General features: G+C 38.4%; 1 protein-coding gene across 8 annotated transcripts in view, besides 1 other annotated feature; it reads right to left on the bottom strand.

Moving 5' to 3' along the window:
• The window catches only part of AMPH (amphiphysin), a 247670-nt gene that overhangs the window by 40935 nt on the left and 188245 nt on the right, over positions 1-18490 (bottom strand). For 2 of the 8 annotated variants that reach the window (XM_006715690.5, XM_011515271.4), the window contains exons 12-15: positions 11634-11750; positions 7551-7574; positions 4418-4939; positions 2316-2348 (exon numbers count right to left, since the gene is read on the bottom strand). In XM_006715690.5, the coding sequence (XP_006715753.1) occupies positions 2316-2348; positions 4418-4939; positions 7551-7574; positions 11634-11750 (696 nt within the window). Of the gene's footprint in view, positions 1-2315; positions 2349-3199; positions 4940-5203; positions 5228-7044; positions 7465-7550; positions 7575-11633; positions 11751-18490 lie in introns of those variants that run through there. The other 6 variants (XM_006715689.5, XM_017011995.3, NM_139316.3 and 3 more) reach the window with 4 other exon arrangements.
• Positions 9362-9580: a silencer, noted in NCBI's record as "fragment chr7:38473600-38473818 (GRCh37/hg19 assembly coordinates)". NCBI's record gives its function as "represses an EF-1alpha promoter that drives an FKBP-Casp9 reporter gene in an ReSE screen in HepG2 liver carcinoma cells {active_cell/tissue: HepG2}" and the evidence as "EXISTENCE:reporter gene assay evidence [ECO:0000049][PMID:32094911]".

Consider the following 18490-nt stretch of genomic DNA (forward strand, 5'->3'; position numbering starts at 1 on the left):
CAAAGGAAAAAAAAAGATAAAGCCATGAAATATTTTTTTAAAATTCTCCCAAACCAAAACCCATAAATTTTGAGATTAAAAAGGCTTATACAGTGGATGAAAAGAGACTCAGACCATAGCCCATCATTGAAACATTTCAGAAACACTGAAGTAAAAAGAAGATGCTACAAAGTTCCAGAGAGAAAGAGAGAAAAGGAAGATGAAAGAGGTAGGAGGAGGGAGATAGAGAGAAAGAATGAGGAGAGGAAGCAGGTTTCTTACAAAATATCAAGAATCAAAATGACAGTTTCTTGAAGGCAACACTAGGTGGTAGGATTGAGTGGAGCGATGGCTGTAAAATTATAAGGGAAAATGATTTACAGCTTCGAATATAATACCCAAACTAGCAGTCCAGTATATTAATATATATGTAGGACATGTTCAGATGTGTAACGTCACAAATATACACCTTCTGTGTATGCACTTTTTTCAGAAAGCTACTGGAGGTTGTGCTCCACCCAAATGAATGATTAAACCACAAATGAGAAAACTTGCATCAGAAAACAGTGGAAGGACAGGAAAGAGAGGTGAAGGCAGTCCCCATGACCAACAGGATGGAAGAGCCAGTGAGAACAGCTCTACAGCAAGTCACAGTCATAGAGTACCCAGTTCAGCCCACAGCAGCCCAGGAGAGGAGGACAGATAGGCAATTTCTTCAAGAAGATGAAACTGATTGAATGTCTAGTGTTTTCAGCAAAATAGGAGATTTGTATAACTATAGAGTATGGGGTTGAATATGTGATAAGTACCTAGAAAACTAAGCATATCAATCAAAAGGCAAATAAATTAGACCCACAATTTTTTTATAATTACCACAAAGGAAAACAAAAAGTTGGCATGAAACAAAATGTGAAATTCATGACTTGGCTGTTAATAGCATTTTCATCACTATTACATTACCACAGATTGCCTGGATGGCTTTGATGGAACTCTATCAGAGGAAGGGCAGGAAGCAGAAGAGGGGGCGAATTGGGTGGGTAGGAGGTGGAAAATACTTTAAGTCTTCACCTTCCAGAGAGATGAGTCAATAGATAATACTTTAGAAATCAAGAAGCAGCATTATAAGAAACCCATGCACACATATAGGGCGGAAACAGAGAATTTGTTGAAGGAAGTGAAACTATTTACCTCTAAGAAACAGGAAATGAAGGGAGTGTATGGTGGTCTGAAGTTTTAAAATAAAAGCCCTTATAAAAGTTGTTACTTTTAAAATTATGTGCATTAATAACTCTGATGGAAATACAAACCTGAAAAGAATGAGAAATTGATGACAGAGCCTATCATAACCTTTCAAAGGAATTTTCTGAAGATGGAAGAGATGCATTAACGTCTCTTTGTATTTGTGTGTATCTGTATTTGGATGTGGGAATATCAGTGGGTTTTTATCTTTTTACAGGTAACATGGGAAAATAATGAAACCTTTAAATACAGAATTCTATTTATGAATATATTATGAATATATATTTAGAGAATTATAAATGCTAAATTATTAGAAACTGTGCATGTCTGACATTCTGAGACAAAGCAGGCATCACAGACAAGCCTGTCTGAGGTCTCCATTGAAGAGGTTGTCAGAACTGATCCAGGAGCCTGAGAGCCATGTGGCCGGCCTTTTACACAGGTTACACCTGCCTACCTGTTGGGACATACACATACACTGTCCTAATGGGACAGTTCATCTTGTGGTTTCTCTTTCACAGACTCTCAAGAAAAATACTGCCTTATTGGACACAACCAGCCTATGGTTTCTGATCTTCCAACAGCTCCTTCCTGGAGAACTGCTGAAGAGGTAAGGCTCTGTGCAGTGTGGCTCCTATAGGAATCTCTAGAAGGAAGCTCCTAAAACCCTCTCACATTTTCTAAAGATCCATCTCATTAGTTCAAAACAATCCTAGCTCTTCTTTAGAACAGCTGAATCCAGTGGATCTCTCAGATCAGAACAACTTCTAATTTCTAGTAGAGGAATCGGTAGAAGGTAGAAGCCCATGGTATAGCTAATCATATTAATAAAAGCTAAACTAAAGTCAGGGAGAACTTAGTGTGTGCTAGCCTGCTGGGCTAAACACTCTGTTGCATAGCTCATTTAATCTTCACAATAATCATACAATGTTGCTACTATTCTGTTTCCATTACTCAGTCTGTAAGTAGTGGGGTCCAATTTTGTGCTGATATTCTTAATCATTACGCTATACTAGTGGCACAGAGAACCAAACCACATTGAAAAAAATGTGCATCATTCTCAGCAGATGGATCTTGTAAGAAAACAGATTCCTTACCTGTGTGAATCCATTAAATGAACCACCAGAAGCCTAAACAGAAACGAAAATCAGATTGTGTTATTATTTTTCATTATCATTTTGTAGGACCAGTAAATATCCATTAGACAAGTTGGAAAGTAAAGACTATCACAAGTTTTAAAATAATACAAAAGGTTGCTGTGCATGAAAGAACTTAGGAAATGCAAAGGCCACACTGTATGATTTTAAATAGGCTGACAAAAAAAAAAAGAAAGGTTAATTTTACAATTATTGCTGCTGCATTATTGCTTGGTGCCAACCAAAACCCACTTTCTCTATAATGAGAAGATGATTCCAGAAAAGGGCCATTAGGAGTTAAATTGCTTGTTTTTCAGGCCATTGATAGAATCTAGAAGAAACTTCTCCAGTGTTTCTACAATGCATCATTTTGATGAACAGCAATTATGATATTTTACAGTTTCAGTGGGCCTGGGTTGAAACATTTCGTGTGTTCTTTTTGGAGTGGAACCACTTCAGGAACAGTAAATTAGTCTGTGCTGCTCTTGGTTTAGCACATTTTTAGTACCTGCATAGTAAAAGTGAAAGTAGGGAGAATAAACTCAGAAAATGAGATGGTAACATAGACTGTCATTAATTCCCAACACAATCATTCCGCTTTGTGTGTATGTGTCTATGTTGTTGGGTTCTTTTTGTTGTTGTTGTTGATGCTGCTGCTTTTTTTTTTTTTTGGTCAACCTATTTGTGTTTGGTTTGCACAGATTTCAAGAAGTACATGACAATCTGTTAGAGAGATCAGGCCTCCTAGAAGATAGTGATGGATAATGAAGTAGGTGACAGACATGAGGAAAAACAGAGCCTACAGAAGTCTTTGGCTAGTCTATGCTACAGACCAGGGTAAGTACCTCGTCTTTGTCAGCCTCTATTTCTTGGTACAACAATCCATATCTCTGGTTAGCAATTTCATCTTCAGATAAATCTGAGTTGTTGATGTCCTGGTCTCGGGAACTAGCAGAACTCTCAGTGCTAGCATTCCAGGAGGTCCCCAAAATCAATGGTCTTGCTATCTCCTGGCTTTGTTCCCAGCAGCTAGCAATGGCTTGTTCCCTACAATCACCTGCTAGTAAGTCCACCTTCAGTTCTTCCTTGTGCTCAACTACATCTGAATGTGTCCAGCTATTATCTAAGCCTTCTGTATCTCTGATAGGCCAGTGGTTAATAGAATCCAGACAACTGGCAAATCCACTTGCTTGGCCATCTGGTATACCAGAGAATCCTGTTATATCCAAATTATTCATTGCTGAATCCAAGCTTGGCTGCCAGATTTGACCTGGATCTGTTCCCCAAGAGTCTATCTCTGCAATTCTTGGCAAGTTAACAGTATGACTACGGTTCTCAGTTACTGTTCTTTCAGACCCTTCTATTAGTGAACTTTCTGCCTTACATGAACATAAATCTCTTCTGTTTGCATCTCTTCCCAGAGAATAATTAAGGTCAGTCCTAGACTGAGCTTCTACTTCAAGTTTTATTGATAAAACAGCCTGATTTTTATCCCTGTCACCTACAAGAGCATTTAACACAGTCTCACACTGAATTTCTTCAGCATCTGTACTGTCTTGTGCTGGGTAAAATATCATATCATGGTTGGGAGTGTCTATTGCATTTTTCTTTATGTCTTTTCTAGTCAAATCCCATCCCTCAGGGCTGCCATCTTCAATATTAGATACAGAGTAGGTCTGGAGAGATGGATTCAAGATATCTGGGTGATTGGCAGGTTTGGCTCCAAAGCCTTCTATCATTCCACAATTATTGATTACCTTTTGAATTCCATCATGTAGACCTTGGTCTCTGTCACTAAGTTCTTTTGCCATATCTCCTCCTTCCATGTCCTTTTCTAATAGGTCAGTTTTCTCAAAATAATTTTCATTGGCGTTTGTACTTTCCTTATACCCTGCTCTTAGATCTTTTCTAGTTTCCACTTCATTAATTTTTAAGGTCTTATGGTCTTCCTTTCCTATGGTATTAAGAAGTTCTACCACTCTGTTTCCTGTCCTTTCACATGCTTTCTCTTCAAATTCCTCTGTACCTTCTAGTGTCTTGATATCAATAGCTCCAGTGTCTACCTTTTGACACGCCTCCACACCTGCCCACAGAGAATCTTCCATCTTCTGTTTCTCTTCCTCTTCATCTGACTTCTTCATATCTTCATGACTTTCTTTGAACAGGCCAGCTGTGTCCATGGCTGGCATGTCTGAGTCAAGTGGGTCATACAGCTGCTCCATCTCCACACAAGCAGCAATGGCAACTCCAGCCTCCGGCGCAGGCTTTGGGGGCAGTTGTTCATTTCCACCTGGAAAGGCTGGCCCCGGGGCATGCTCACTCTCTTCAGCTACAGTGGGCCAGTCAGCAGACGAAAGCAGGCTGGTGGATAATCTTATGTCTTGCTCTGTTTCGGAGGGACATGCAGAGTCTTCTCCAAACCCACCTGAGGTAACTTCTTGGCTGACCCTGTCTGTACTAGCGTCAGGGCCCCAAGTAAATGCACCTATATCATTTTGAGATCTTTGAATTTCTTCGGCCAACCCACTGTCTGGAGTTTCCTCCATGATCAGGTTACACAAGGAAAGACTTTCTGAAGAGTCAGTCTTTAAAGTATGCAGAAGAGCAAAGGAAAAAAAACAAAAACAAAAGATGAAACAGAACATGGTAAGATTTGATGAGAAACACAAAGCTCTTCAGGCGAGTAGCACCAGTAAAACCAAACTGGAAAGTGATTACATTCATTGGCTTAAGGTTTAAATCTATGACTAGCAATGCCATGGGGAAACAGTTCATTCTAGAAAATATACTATGTATGTAATGCATATCAAATACCAAAAAAATCCAGAATGATCTGGATATTTACCTACCGGCTGTACCAAATCAGTGCTTGTCTGTATGGGTAAAGAAAATAGTAACAATAAGGCGAGAGAGAAAATTCACTAACACAATAAAATCCTATGCTGTCTAGAGTCAACATTCTGCTGAAGGCTATAGCTTTTACTGGTTTAGGAACAAATTTTACAACTTGTTTTGTGATAGGAATGATTTTTGTTCCAAAATTGTTTAAGACCACCATAGAAAAGGCACAAATGAAACACAAAGAAAGCCTCTTTCACTTTCTAGCATCAGCAAGGATGTTTTATGGCTAGTATATGACTTCTGCTTTAGCAGACTCTGAAATGCTAAGTTTCAAACACATAAGCAAGTTTGAGAACATCGGAATAAGATCAAGCACTAGAGGTCAAGAAATTACACAGTAGCACACACTTTGACACAGTATCAGAAGAAAATATTCCCCAAACTCATCCTATACTTGGCTCTGTCTTTGAGATGGGTGTTTAGATGGAGAATGGTCTGATATTAACCAGTCTGACTGCCTGCAGAGTTCTCTTGATGTCATTCCCCCAAATTAGCAGCCATTTTCTCCACATAATGAAAAAATCTTGCAAAGTTGAGAAGATTAATAGCTGTGAGCAACTATGTTCAGAAAGCTGTTGTTTTGCATTTTGATATCGCTACCATTCCTAGCAAGTTTGTCCTCTGAAACGTTCAAAAGCTCTTTTTAGACGATACCTTCACCCTCTCCATACCCTCCCAGCGAGGGAAGGAAAATGTGTTACAGTTCCACTAAAGATATAAAATATTGGAATAACAAAAAATAGCATTGTCTTTTTAATCTCCAAGGAAATTAACACAGAGTTGAAGTTAGAATTCAAATGACTCGAACATCAATCCATGCATGCCTTTTTGTGAATATATGAGTAAAACTTTTCACTAGAAAAGATATAACTTAGTCATTGGTGGTTTCAATAGACATTTTTAATCTCTCTTCTTGAGCACTTCCCTTGATGCTCCAAGGATCTTAAAGAGTGCAGTATGAGCCCTGCAACTGCAGAAGGAAGGGACAGACATCTTTTTGTTTTGAAGGGAGAAAGAAAGTGGCAATGTCAATTCAGAAGTGGCATTGCCCATGAATAGCTAGATCTATCGAACTTTCCTTTTTCTGCCTCACAATAAAAGAAGAAAACATACAACTTAAGTTGAGTTCTTAAGACCACATCACCAGGGCTTTTCTAAAACAAAGACCCTGCTCCAAGGGATATGAGGCTGTAGAGGTGTGTGACCAATCACCTAATTTCACAGCACCAATGAGACCACCACAAAGCTCTGTTTGTGACACTTTCCCAAGTCTAAATTATGGAGTAGTTATCCTTACACATCAGATTAGCTGAAAAAACATCAGTAATAACATCTACCTTTTATTGATACACACCAGACACCATGCTACATACTTTACAATTATCTTATTTAAACCTCACACAACCTTCCGAGGTAGGCATCATTACCCTTATTTTATAAATGAGAAAAAAATGATGCTTAGAGAGTTTTAGAAATTGCTCAGGCTGGCCGCAGTGGCTCACACCTGTAATCCCAGCACTTTGGGAGGCCGAGGCGGGCAGATCACAAGGTCAGCAGATCGAGACCATCCTGGCTAACACGGTGAAACCCCATCTCTACTAAAAATACAAAAATTAGTTGGGCGCGGTGGCGGGTGCCTGTAGTCCCAGCTACTTGGGAGGCTGAGGCAGGAGAAGGGTGTGAACCCGGGAGGCGGAGCTTGCAGTGAGCCGAGACAGTGCCATTGCACTCCAGCACTCAATGAAACAGCGAGACTCCGTCTTAAAAAAAAAAAAAAAAAAAAGTAATTGCTCAAAGTCTCAAGGTTATGAGTAGTAGAGTTTGGACTAAAATCCAGGGCTATCTGGCTCTAAAACTCAAGTTCTTATTAACCCAAGCTTCATTGAATACAATCACTTTTTTTTAAAATGGTACCATGTGCCAAGTAGCCCATCTCTTCCATTTTCTCATTCACACTTTCCTTGTCTTCTATTTAAGTGTGTGTGTCCTTCACTGCAACAGCTCCTTTTGCCACCAACCACCACAGAAAGAAACAAAGGGCCAAACTCTTGACCATTATTCAAATTATTGACCATTATTCACCCAGGAGTCTGGTCCACTGTACTCTTCCTTCACCATCATCTTCCGGTTCTGATAATGCTCAAGACTTTCAGTGGCCTAATGATCATTCTAGGGGACTATATCATCATTAAATGTATGTGTCTTCTTTCTGTTGCAAATGAAATAAAATATAACAAGGTTTCCAAATTTCTGGGGATCAAGATACATGAAAAAACAGAGTTATTAGTGGCTTACCGTCCATAGGTCCCAGGGCAATGTCTGAAAGCAAATAAACAAAAATACTGTTAGTTATACAAATCTAAAACATAAAAAAATGCTGAGGTGACAAAAGTTCTTGAAATCATAAGCATTTTTTAAGCATTTTGTACAGTACTGTTCAATAAAACTTTTTTTGGTGAAGGAAATGATCCATATCTGTGCTTATCCAGTATGGTAGCCACCAGTCACATGTGGCTATTGAGCACTTGAAATGTGCTAGGGTAACAAAACCACATTTTAAATTTTACATAATTGTATTATACTTAATATAAGCTTAAATGGCACTTAGCTTTGGATAGCACAGGTCTAATCAATCTCAACTTTCACTATGTGAGTAGAAAACTATATTTGAAACACAAATGAGGTTATTTTAATACACACACACACACACACACACACACACACACACACCTCATTAAAATGAAGTAAACAAGGTGTCCAAATTTTAGAGCTTGTCACATCTTTGAGGAAATGCAGGCCCTAATCACTGCTAATGCTATTTCCTTCCCATCTCATTCAAGAGGATGTAGGATGACCAGCTTAATGGTAAATGAGCCCCAGAAAAATAGTTCTTCAATATGTTAAATTAGATGATAACACACTGCTCAATGAATTGGTAATCATACAAATTGGCAGAGCACCCCCTAAGACATGAATGAATTACACTTACTACTGGTATTTTAATTATAAAGCTTATGAATCCCGGGGAGTGAGGCCAGATGGTTCAAATGGCTTCCACTATGGGTGAGGGGAGCAGGGAAGACTTCTCTTTCTTATTTCCTTTATGATTGAGAATTGCTGCTAAAGCCACATCCGATTATGCCCATGTCTTTGTGACTAGAATGGATCCACGTTTATGCACTTATTTTGAACTACTAAATGTCAACAGCAAACTAGAGAGCCTGGCATTGCCACCTTAAAAATATGATGGTTTTCGGTTGAGATTGCAGAGGCCTCATTTGGGCTCCGTATTATAGAAAGCAGGCCCTGTGGTTCTGATACCCACCCACCTGGTTGGGTCCCATTCTAACCGTTCTGCATGGCCTGCCTTGCATCTCCATGCAGCCTGCCTGGTCTCTTGCTTAGCATTTTCTCGTAGGATGACTAAGACAGGAGAGAACAGCTCCATGGAAAGCCACAGTTTTTTGTACATGGATCTAATATATGTTTTCTGATTATCTAGATGATTCTCATTTCATTGCTTCATAGCCACTTAAGAATCAAAGATCATGGCCGGGCGCGGTGGCTCACGCCTGTAATCCCAGCACTTTGGGAGGCCGAGGCGGGCGGATCACGAGGTCAGGAGATCGAGACCATCCCGGCTAAAACGGTGAAACCCCGTCTCTACTAAAAATACAAAAAATTAGCCGGGCGTAGTGGCGGGCGCCTGTAGTCCCAGCTACTTGGGAGGCTGAGGCAGGAGAATGGCATGAACCCGGGAGGCGGAGCTTGCAGTGAGCCGAGATCCTGCCACTGCACTCCAGCCTGGGCAACAGAGCGAGACTCCGTCTCAAAAAAAAAAAAAAAAAAAAAAGAATCAAAGATCATAAAAGCTAGTGCATGTCTCTGTATAATGCACACATCACCAGTTATTTTCTTTAAAAGGAAGGCAGGAAATATGAAATGTCATGTTTATCAGTCCTCAGGATCATGAAAGGATGCGTTAGCGTGCACAGATACTGCAGAGATCACAAGATGAGGTGTTCTGCTAGCAGCAAGAACACCACTTGAAAACATGGGGTCAGGTGATGGGTAAAGGAGGTCATTTTGAGTGAAGAGGAAAGAAACCAGGCAGACCTAACAGTGCTATGCTTTTTTTGTCATTCAGTCAAGACTTTTGTTCTTAGCAAAAGAGGAGAGGTATGATCAAAGCTGGACTGCAGGACAACTATAGTGTAATGACTCAGTTATGGCCACCAGGAGGCTAGAGGGTTTTATTACCTGGCCCTGAGGAAGAGCACAGGGACACACACAGCTTGCCGTCACTGCGGTGATATATGTCCTTCAGAACTAAAACTTTTGAAGATTAAACCAAGGTCATTTTTGTTTAATTTTGAAGAATCTCTTAGTCATAAGGCCACACACAGTTTCATGATTTATGGATTAATGTAATCATGAATTAACATAAAAGAGGTTTCTCTCCTGATTCAAACTTGTAGACAGAAATGCTATGAAATCTCACCCACTAATCATTCCAGCATCCACTGCAGAAACTTTGCATCTGCCACAAAAGAAATGAAGCATGGGCCGGGCATGGTGGCTCATGCCTGTAATCCCAGCACTTTGGGAGGCCGAGGTGGGCAGATCACGCGGTCAGGAGATCGAGACCATCCTGGCAAACATGGTGAAACCCCACCTCTACTAAAAATACAAAAAATTAGCCAGTCGTGGTGGCAGGCGCCTGTAGTCCCAACTACTCGGGAGGCTGAGGCAGGAGAATGGCGTGAACCAGGGAGGTGAAGCTTGCAGTGAGCCAAGATCGCACCACTGCACTCCAGCCTGGGCATCAGAGTAAGACTCCATCTCAAAGAAAAAAAAAAAAAAAGAAGCATGGAGAGTAAGGCAGAGGAAATCCTGTGAATTCTGCAGGCTGTCTATATAATGAGAAATCTCTGAGAAGGAAGTATATTCAATTATATGTACATTCACTTTGTACTTTTCTTGGTCACCAAGGTGGAACCCTCAAACTTGTTGACAATACTTTAGCATTTCTCAAAATATTGTTTTAGAGAACATTCCAATGAATATTAAGAAAAGTGTAGTTAACATAGATTTCTGTGGTCAAACAAATTTGGGAAACTCTAAGTTAAACAAATATAAACAGTTTTTTTAAATTGCAGAACTTCTCAGCCTTTAATATTCTAATGCACATCATGAATCTTCTAGAAGAGAGTTAATACAGGAGGCTTCCTGGAACTTTCACCTAAGAGACCCTTTTGTTTTTTGCAAAGCATCTTCAAGGCTAGTGTTTAGACTATTAATTTCTTACTTTATTAACACCTTGGACATTTATTGTTCATATTGCACAACAGGAAAGCCTTTAGAAGCCCAATCACATTCTAGAAAAAAGCATGGACTAGACATAATCCTTATTTATTAAGGTTCATATTGAGCCATTTATTCCCTAGCAGTTTACTGTGATATACCAAGAAGGCTTCAAGGCCAGGGAATCAAGCTAGGTCTTAATTCCTAGGTTGAATGTTACAATATTCTTGTACTAATTCATTTGAAGCATACTCTAGCAACTTTGGATTTGCCTAAATTCATATGTGGGGCTCCAACCATATGCAAAGTACTTATATAAACAGTTTCTGTTTTGTCAAATTTTGAGTTAACTTCCTTCTATTAGCACAGACAGTTGTAAACTAACTATATTTCAGAGGACCTACCCACAGGTCATTATGGCACCTACCACCAGTATCCTCTGACAGAGAATGTAATGACAGTTACTATAAGAAAGGAAGAAATATGGAGTGTGAGGGAGTGGTGAGCAAAAAGGCTTGGGGAAGCAAGGCGACTCTCCATCAAACCATAACCATGATCACAGGAGGGGAGCTTCTTCAATGGGGAGGATGAACACAGCATCATCAAGTTCAGAACGATCAACACTGAAAACGGCTTCTGCTGGCCCGTGCTTTCATGGTCATTGCAAACACACTTTAACTTGCAAAGTATGAGGAAGGGAAGTAGAGAAAAGAGCAAGAAGAGTAAACCCAAAACCAAAAGAAAGAGCTTCATCCAGGGAAACCATAAAATGTATCCTGTAAACCTGAACAGTTCTGAGTGCAACGTGGGCACTGGTAACAATTACTCTGGGGGAGAAAACAGGAATGTATGGTTATGCCAGCTCTATGGGTAGAGAAAGCTGATGGCATGGGAGTCTTAGAATAACTGATATAGATAAGGTCCCCTTTCTACCCCTCTTTCCTATTAGGAAATATCTGTCAACCAAAAATAAAAATAGATAGTAGTCATGAAAGGTATAGGGATCATTGGTTACCACACTGAGCTTACTGAGGTTTATGAAATATCTCCAAACATCCAAAAAGCACCTGATACCTGAGACATGGGTGAGTGGGTCACTCCAGCAGAACCTGCAGGTGTCACCTCGGGCTTGAAAGGATCAAAGTCCAGATCCAGCAAAGTCTCCTCTTTCTTCACCTCAGGGACTTCATTCTGTTAAAGCAAACAACAAAACAAAATAAAACATGTATTAGCTTGAATCTGATAAGACCATGATATAGCCCATGTATACTCTCTCTAATATTATTATTGAGTATCTCCAAAACACACTTTTATAAGCATGGTGGCTCACCCATATGCACCCAGTCACTCAGCTAAATGCAGTGAGAAGGAAATAACTAACTCTGGCCAAGTATAACCTAAGTTGCCCTGGAATGTGTCCCAGGCTCTAGCTCTTGTCCTTTGTCTAGCTCCAAGTCCAGTCAACAGAGAGAATGTTCCAAGGATGTATCCTAATATACCAAGATGCAAGGAGTCTCCTCTGTCAGCTCAGAGAACTTGGATCAAGAAATTACAGATGACCCAATCGATAAAATGGGCCAAGATCTGGACTCATTATAGCAATACTGCTGATGTTCTTCTGGGAAGCTAAAATTTTAAAAGGAAGGTGCCATTGTGTACTGCTGACCACATCCCAACGGCCTCATTCCCTCACTGGTACCCTACCCCTTGATTTGGTTATCATTTGATCCAGTCTTCATCCATAGCATTGTTAGTTTCAATTGTGTATGTGTATGAGTGAGGGTGAACGGGAGGGAGAGAGGAGAGAGACAGCCATGCCTCCCAACATTTGCTGCAAAATGAGCTCCCATTAATAATATTTTTGGATTAGAAAGAAGGTAAGCCAAATAAGACACAGGACGAAAGTCCTGCTTTGATAATACAAAAAAATCTATAATACTAAACATTATCATTTGTTCATTTATTTGTGGTATCATAATACATGAAAACAATGTGGGCTTGAAGTCAGCATAACCCAGGCTCAAGTTACACAGTAAAGGGCCAGGCTAAGACAAAGTCCCATAAAGTACATCACAGAAAAGGGAGTTGGGGTCAGTTTTCATACAATTTAAATTACATGTGTTTAGCATTCAATATAAAATTCTTTTTAAAAAAACTTTGTTGCCTAGAAATTGAAACGTCAAACCAATGGGTAAAGTATACATAAAAACAGATTTTTGGAGACAGATTTTTGAAGAATAGGAGTTATTCTAATTAATATTCATCACAGACATTAAAAACTGAGAAATGTATGAAAAGTGAGGGCCAGACACAGTGGCTCATGCCTGTAATCCCAGCACTTTGGGAGGCCGAGGTGGGCAGATCAGGAGGTGAAGAGATTGAGACCATCCTGGCTAACATGGTGAAACCCTGTCTCTACTAAAAATACAAAAAAAAAAAAAAAAAAGAAAAGAAAAATTAGTTGGGCATGGTGGTGCATGACCGTAGTCCCAGCTACTTGGGAGGCTGAGGCAGGAGAATCGCTTGAACCTGGGAGACGAAGGTTGCAGTGAGCTGAGATCATGCCACTGCACTCCAGCCTGGGTGATGGACCAAGGCTCCATTCCCCCCCAAAAATAAAAAAAATAAAAATAAAGAAAAGCGAGGTGGTATAACCTAAATACTTTCCTTAGCATATCCGTACTCATTGCAGAAGAAAGCTGCTAATATGTCATGCTATTAGCCTTGCATTTTCTATTCTGCAGCACAGTAACTCCCCATATATACTTTTTAAAAATTTCACAAGGATAATGCCCTTCTGAGAGCTCTACTTTCTTTACTAATTACAATCACAAAACTATCAACCGATTCCCTATTCAAAATCTGCATAAGCTTTGTTTTTCCCCAACTTTTATGTAGGTAAAAATTATATTTTTAAAATGTAGTAAACATATTATACTTGGAGTATGATAGGCACTGTTCGAAGAACTTTACACATATGAACATTACCTCATGTTAACACACTTTGGTGCAATCTAATGTTGACAACACTTTATTGCCTTTAAAGCATTTATCTTGCCATGTTCTCCAGACTGCATTGTACCTGCCTTTTCAAATATAATCCTTACAAAAAATTGAGGGAGAGATGGCAGCAATTCTCCATTTGGGAGAATGAAGAGAATTGGCTGAATGGTGATCTATTGTCATGGCCCCCAGCTGCCATGTAGCAGAGGTAAGACTGTAGTTGGTACCTCTGACTCCAATGCCTGCCAGGCTGTCAACTGATGCCCCAGACCCAAGTTTCTTAATTAGGAACCCCAAAAATCTGCAGAGGAATTCTCAAAGTTCTGCAAGTTCTCCATAAAATTTTAGGTCATGGGAATATATTCATTATTTCCTTTTAAGCATAATGAATCCCCTTAAGGAAGCTCAAATGGGAATTTAGAGATGAAGGATGAAATGAGGCATCAGACTATAATGGGCTATGCTCAGACTTTGATTGAGATCAATCTGTGGTTATACCCCAATTTTACCACTTGCTAGCTGTCTCTCCCTGGCCAATTAATTGAGCTTCTTTGAGCCTCGGTTTCTTCATGAATAAAATGGGATTAATAAGACCTAATAGGATTACCATGAGTAGTAAAGATGATAAATGCACATGTACGTAATGTCTAGGAAATACTCAAAATGGAAATGGAAGCTAATGTTATTAATTACCATTAGCAACAATGCATACATGTGATTATAGTTTGGCTCTGTGTCCCCACTCAAATATCATTCAGATTGTAATCCCCATGTTTGGTCAAGGGAGGAACCTGGTGAGAGGTGACTGGATCATGGGGGTAGTTTCCCCAATGCTGTTCTCACAATAGTGAATGAGTTCTCATGAGAGTTGATGGTTTTAAAGTGTGGCACTTCCCCCCTGCTGTCTCTCTCCTGCCACCATTTAAGATGTGCCTTGCTTCCCCATAACCTTCTGCCATGATTGAAAGTTTCCAGAGGCCTCCCTAGTCATGTGGAACTGTGAGTCAATGAAACCTTTTTTTCTTTATAAATGACTCAGTCTCAGGCAATTCTTTATAGCAGTGTGAAAATGGACTAATACAACATGTGAATATGTAAAATTACTGTCATCAAATATCCATAATGCCAATTGGACTGCCTTCAAAATATGTGGCTGGTTTTTTCAGGCTCAACTTCTACTTAGCTTTGCCCTCTTAATCTTGAGAATTATCCCTTAAGGTACTCATGTCAAAGAATATTCTGGTAAAGCTACAAACATAGCAAAAGGATTTTGCCAGCTTATATAGTATTCCTTTTTAAAAGGGCAGGAACGTACTCACAACTCTGTCACCACATGTTGAAACACAGAAAAGTGTAATTTTCCTTAACAAGACAAATGAATCCTGTACACCTTCATCACAATTAGAGTACACATGGTATGGTCTCAACATTCTTAGCTTTTTGGGAACTTGATTGTAAGTACTGCTTTACCATCAGAAATCTACAAGGGGTGACTTGGAATGTGCTCCTAAGAAAGGAGACCAGCTGTGGAAACCACAGTGGGAGAAAATCTTCCAATAGGAAAACATTGCCAATTATAATCATCTGTACTATGTTTCATGAGGTGTCTTCTACTTGGGACATCTAAGTTTATCAGTAAAGTACCGGACCTCTTCCAGTGCAGATGTGCAATTTGAGCATAATCGGCATGCCTAGCCTTGCCACGGCTTCGTGATAGATGGATTTTACTTCCCCATCCCTTACGTGGGGTTGACCATATGTCATGCTTTAGCTAATGGATATTAGTTAATGTAATGCAAACAAAGGCTGGAAATGTGCTTGCATGTTTGGTTGGTTGGTTTGTATTCCGCCATTCACCGTGAAAAGTAGAGCCTTGCATAGCTGCTAGTCCAAAAAGAATGAGAGACACATGAAGCACATGTGGACCAATCATAATCTAATTTTCTAATCAGTGTTAAAGATAAATTCATAAAAAGAACCAGAGAAAAGAAGACATTTCACTAACAGAGGAACAACATGAAGGTAGCAGTAGATTTCTCACCAGAAATAATGAAGCAAAAAGACAGTGAGGCAAAGTACTGAGAAAAAGAAACTGCCAACTTATAATTATATGCCCCTTGAAAATACTTTCTAAAATAAAAATTCAATGAAGATTTTCAGACAAACAAAATCAGAAAGAATACATCACCCTCATATACACACTACAACTAATGTGGAAGATATCTTTCAGGCAAGGGAAAAATGATAACAGAACTATGCATCTACACAAAGGAGGAGAACCAGAAATAGTAACTGCCTAGGTAACTATATGTGAGTTTTTATTATTTAAATCTTTTAAAAAGATAATTGGCTGCTTATACAAAAATAATAACAAAATAATGTGAAGTTTAAAACGTAGATAAACTAAAATCAATGACAAAAATTGCATAAAAAACAGAAGTGGAGAAATGTGAGTATATTATCATTAGATTTTTATACTGTACCTTAAATGACATCATATAATTGAAAGTTAGACTGTGATAAATTAAAATGTACACTAAAACCCTAAAGTAACAACTAAAATGACAAAACAATGTTATAGCTAATAAGTAAATAAAGAAAATTAAAGAGAATAAAAAATGTTCAATTAATACAAAAGAAAGCAGAAATGGAAGGGTTAAATGAACAGAGAGACAATGGAAAACAAGTGATCAATGTGCTAGATTTAAACTTCACCATATGAATAATAACCTTAAATGAAAATAGTCTAAATCATGCAATTAAAAGGCAGAGATTATCTAATTGTACAAAAAAGCAAGACCCAACTAGATACTGTCTATAAGAAACTAACTTGAAGTATGTAGACACAAATAGGTTCAAAGTAAAAGGATATAAAGGATGCACCATGCCAATCTAACAAAAAGAAAGCTGTAGTAATTACATTAACAATAAAAAAAGTAGATCTCAAATCAAAGAATATTGTCATGGATAAAGAGGATCATTGCCTAAACATTTATGCACTCAATTAGAGAGCTTCAACATAAAGCAAAAACCAAGAAAGCTGTAAAGAAAAATAAAAAAGCACACACACTTTTATAGGAAAGACTTCAATATTCCTCATTCAATAATTGAAAGAACAAATGGAGAGAAAATAAGCAATGGTATAAAAGATTTAGATAACACTGTGACTAAATTTGACCTAATTTACACTTATAACATTCTATCCAACAACAGCAGAATATATATTCTTTTCAAGTGCACATGGAAATGTAACATGATAAGCAGTATTCTGGGTCATCAAATAGGTCTCAACTAATTCTTTTTTAAAGGTCCTATCTGAGATTTTATTTCCAAAAACAAACAAACAAATGAACAAATAAACACAATGGAACCTCTTTCTTGCACAGACACCAGAGACAATGCTAAAGTTCCCAGTATAACTCTATTATAAAGACACATGCATTTGTGCGTTTGTCGCAGCAATATTCACAACAGCAAAGACATGGAATCAACATAACTACCTATCAATGAAGGCCTGGATAAAGAAAATGATATATATGACAGATATATCATATATATATCATATATATGATATATATCATATATCTGTCATATATATCATATATATATCATATATATCATATATCATATATATCATATATCATATATATCATATATATCATATATATCATATATATATCATATACATACACACACACACACGCCATGGAATACTATGCAGCCATAAAAAGAATGAGATCATGTTCTTTGCAAGGACATGGATGGAACTGGAGGCCATTGTCCTTAGCAAACTAACACAGGAACAGCAAACCAAATACCACATGTTCTCACAAGTGAGAGCTAAAGGTTGAGAACACATGGACACATAAAGGGAAACAACACACACTGGGGCCTATTGGAAGTGGAAGGTAGGAGAAGGGAGAGGATCAGAAAAAATAGCTAATGGGTACTAGGCTTAATACTTGGGTGAGGAAGTGATCTGTACAACAAACGCCCATGACACAAGTTTATCTTATGCAACAAACCTACACTTGTACCCCTGAACTTAAAAGTTTAATAAAAACTTGCCCTGTTAAAGAGTACAGCATGAAGGTGGCTGCCATATGCTTACTCAGTCCACTCTTGTCCTAGTGGCTTCATCAAGTGAGATACAGCCTTCCTCCTCTCCCTGGTAGTCTATCCTTTGTTTTAAGACCCCATGTGTCCCAGCTGGAAAAAACTGTCACTGAATCACTTCTGCCTTCAACTAATTTAAAAACATTCAAGCCACATAAAGTATGGTCTCTGACTACACTGGAATTAAATTGGAAATTGTTAACAGAATGGTCTCTAGAAAATCCACAAATATTTTAATCATCCAAAATGATCTCTGCAAAATCCACAAATAATACTCTTCTAAATAATTCAATGAGTCAAAAAAGAAATCAAAGTGGAAATTGGAAACCTGAATGGAAATGAAAACAATATATCAAAATGTATGGGATGCTGCTAAAGCAGTACTTACGGAAAATTTATAGCACTAAACTCCCATATAAGAAAACAAAAAGGTCCGAAATTATTAACCTCACCTTCTTTTTACCCTGAATATAAAAAAAAAACATAAACAGAGCAATAAAACCCAAAGTAGAAACTGGAAATTATACAGATTAGAGTGGAAATCAGTGAAACAGAAAACAAAAGACAGAGTGAGAACAAGAAAAAGAGAGAATCAATAAGACCACAGGCTAGTTATTTGAGACGATCAATAAAATTAATCAACATTTAGCCAGTCTAATTGGAGTAAAAAGAGAGAGTGAACAAGGATGCAGATTACCAATATTAGGAATGAGAGAGGGAAACATCATCATAGATATTAGAGATATCAAAAAATAATAGTAAATATGATGAACCACTGTACTCCAAATACATTTGGCAATTTAGATGAAATG

The sequence above is a fragment of the Homo sapiens genome, chromosome 7 (assembly GCF_000001405.40).
Source record: "Homo sapiens chromosome 7, GRCh38.p14 Primary Assembly".
In the NCBI taxonomy this organism is placed as follows: Eukaryota; Metazoa; Chordata; class Mammalia; order Primates; family Hominidae; genus Homo; species Homo sapiens.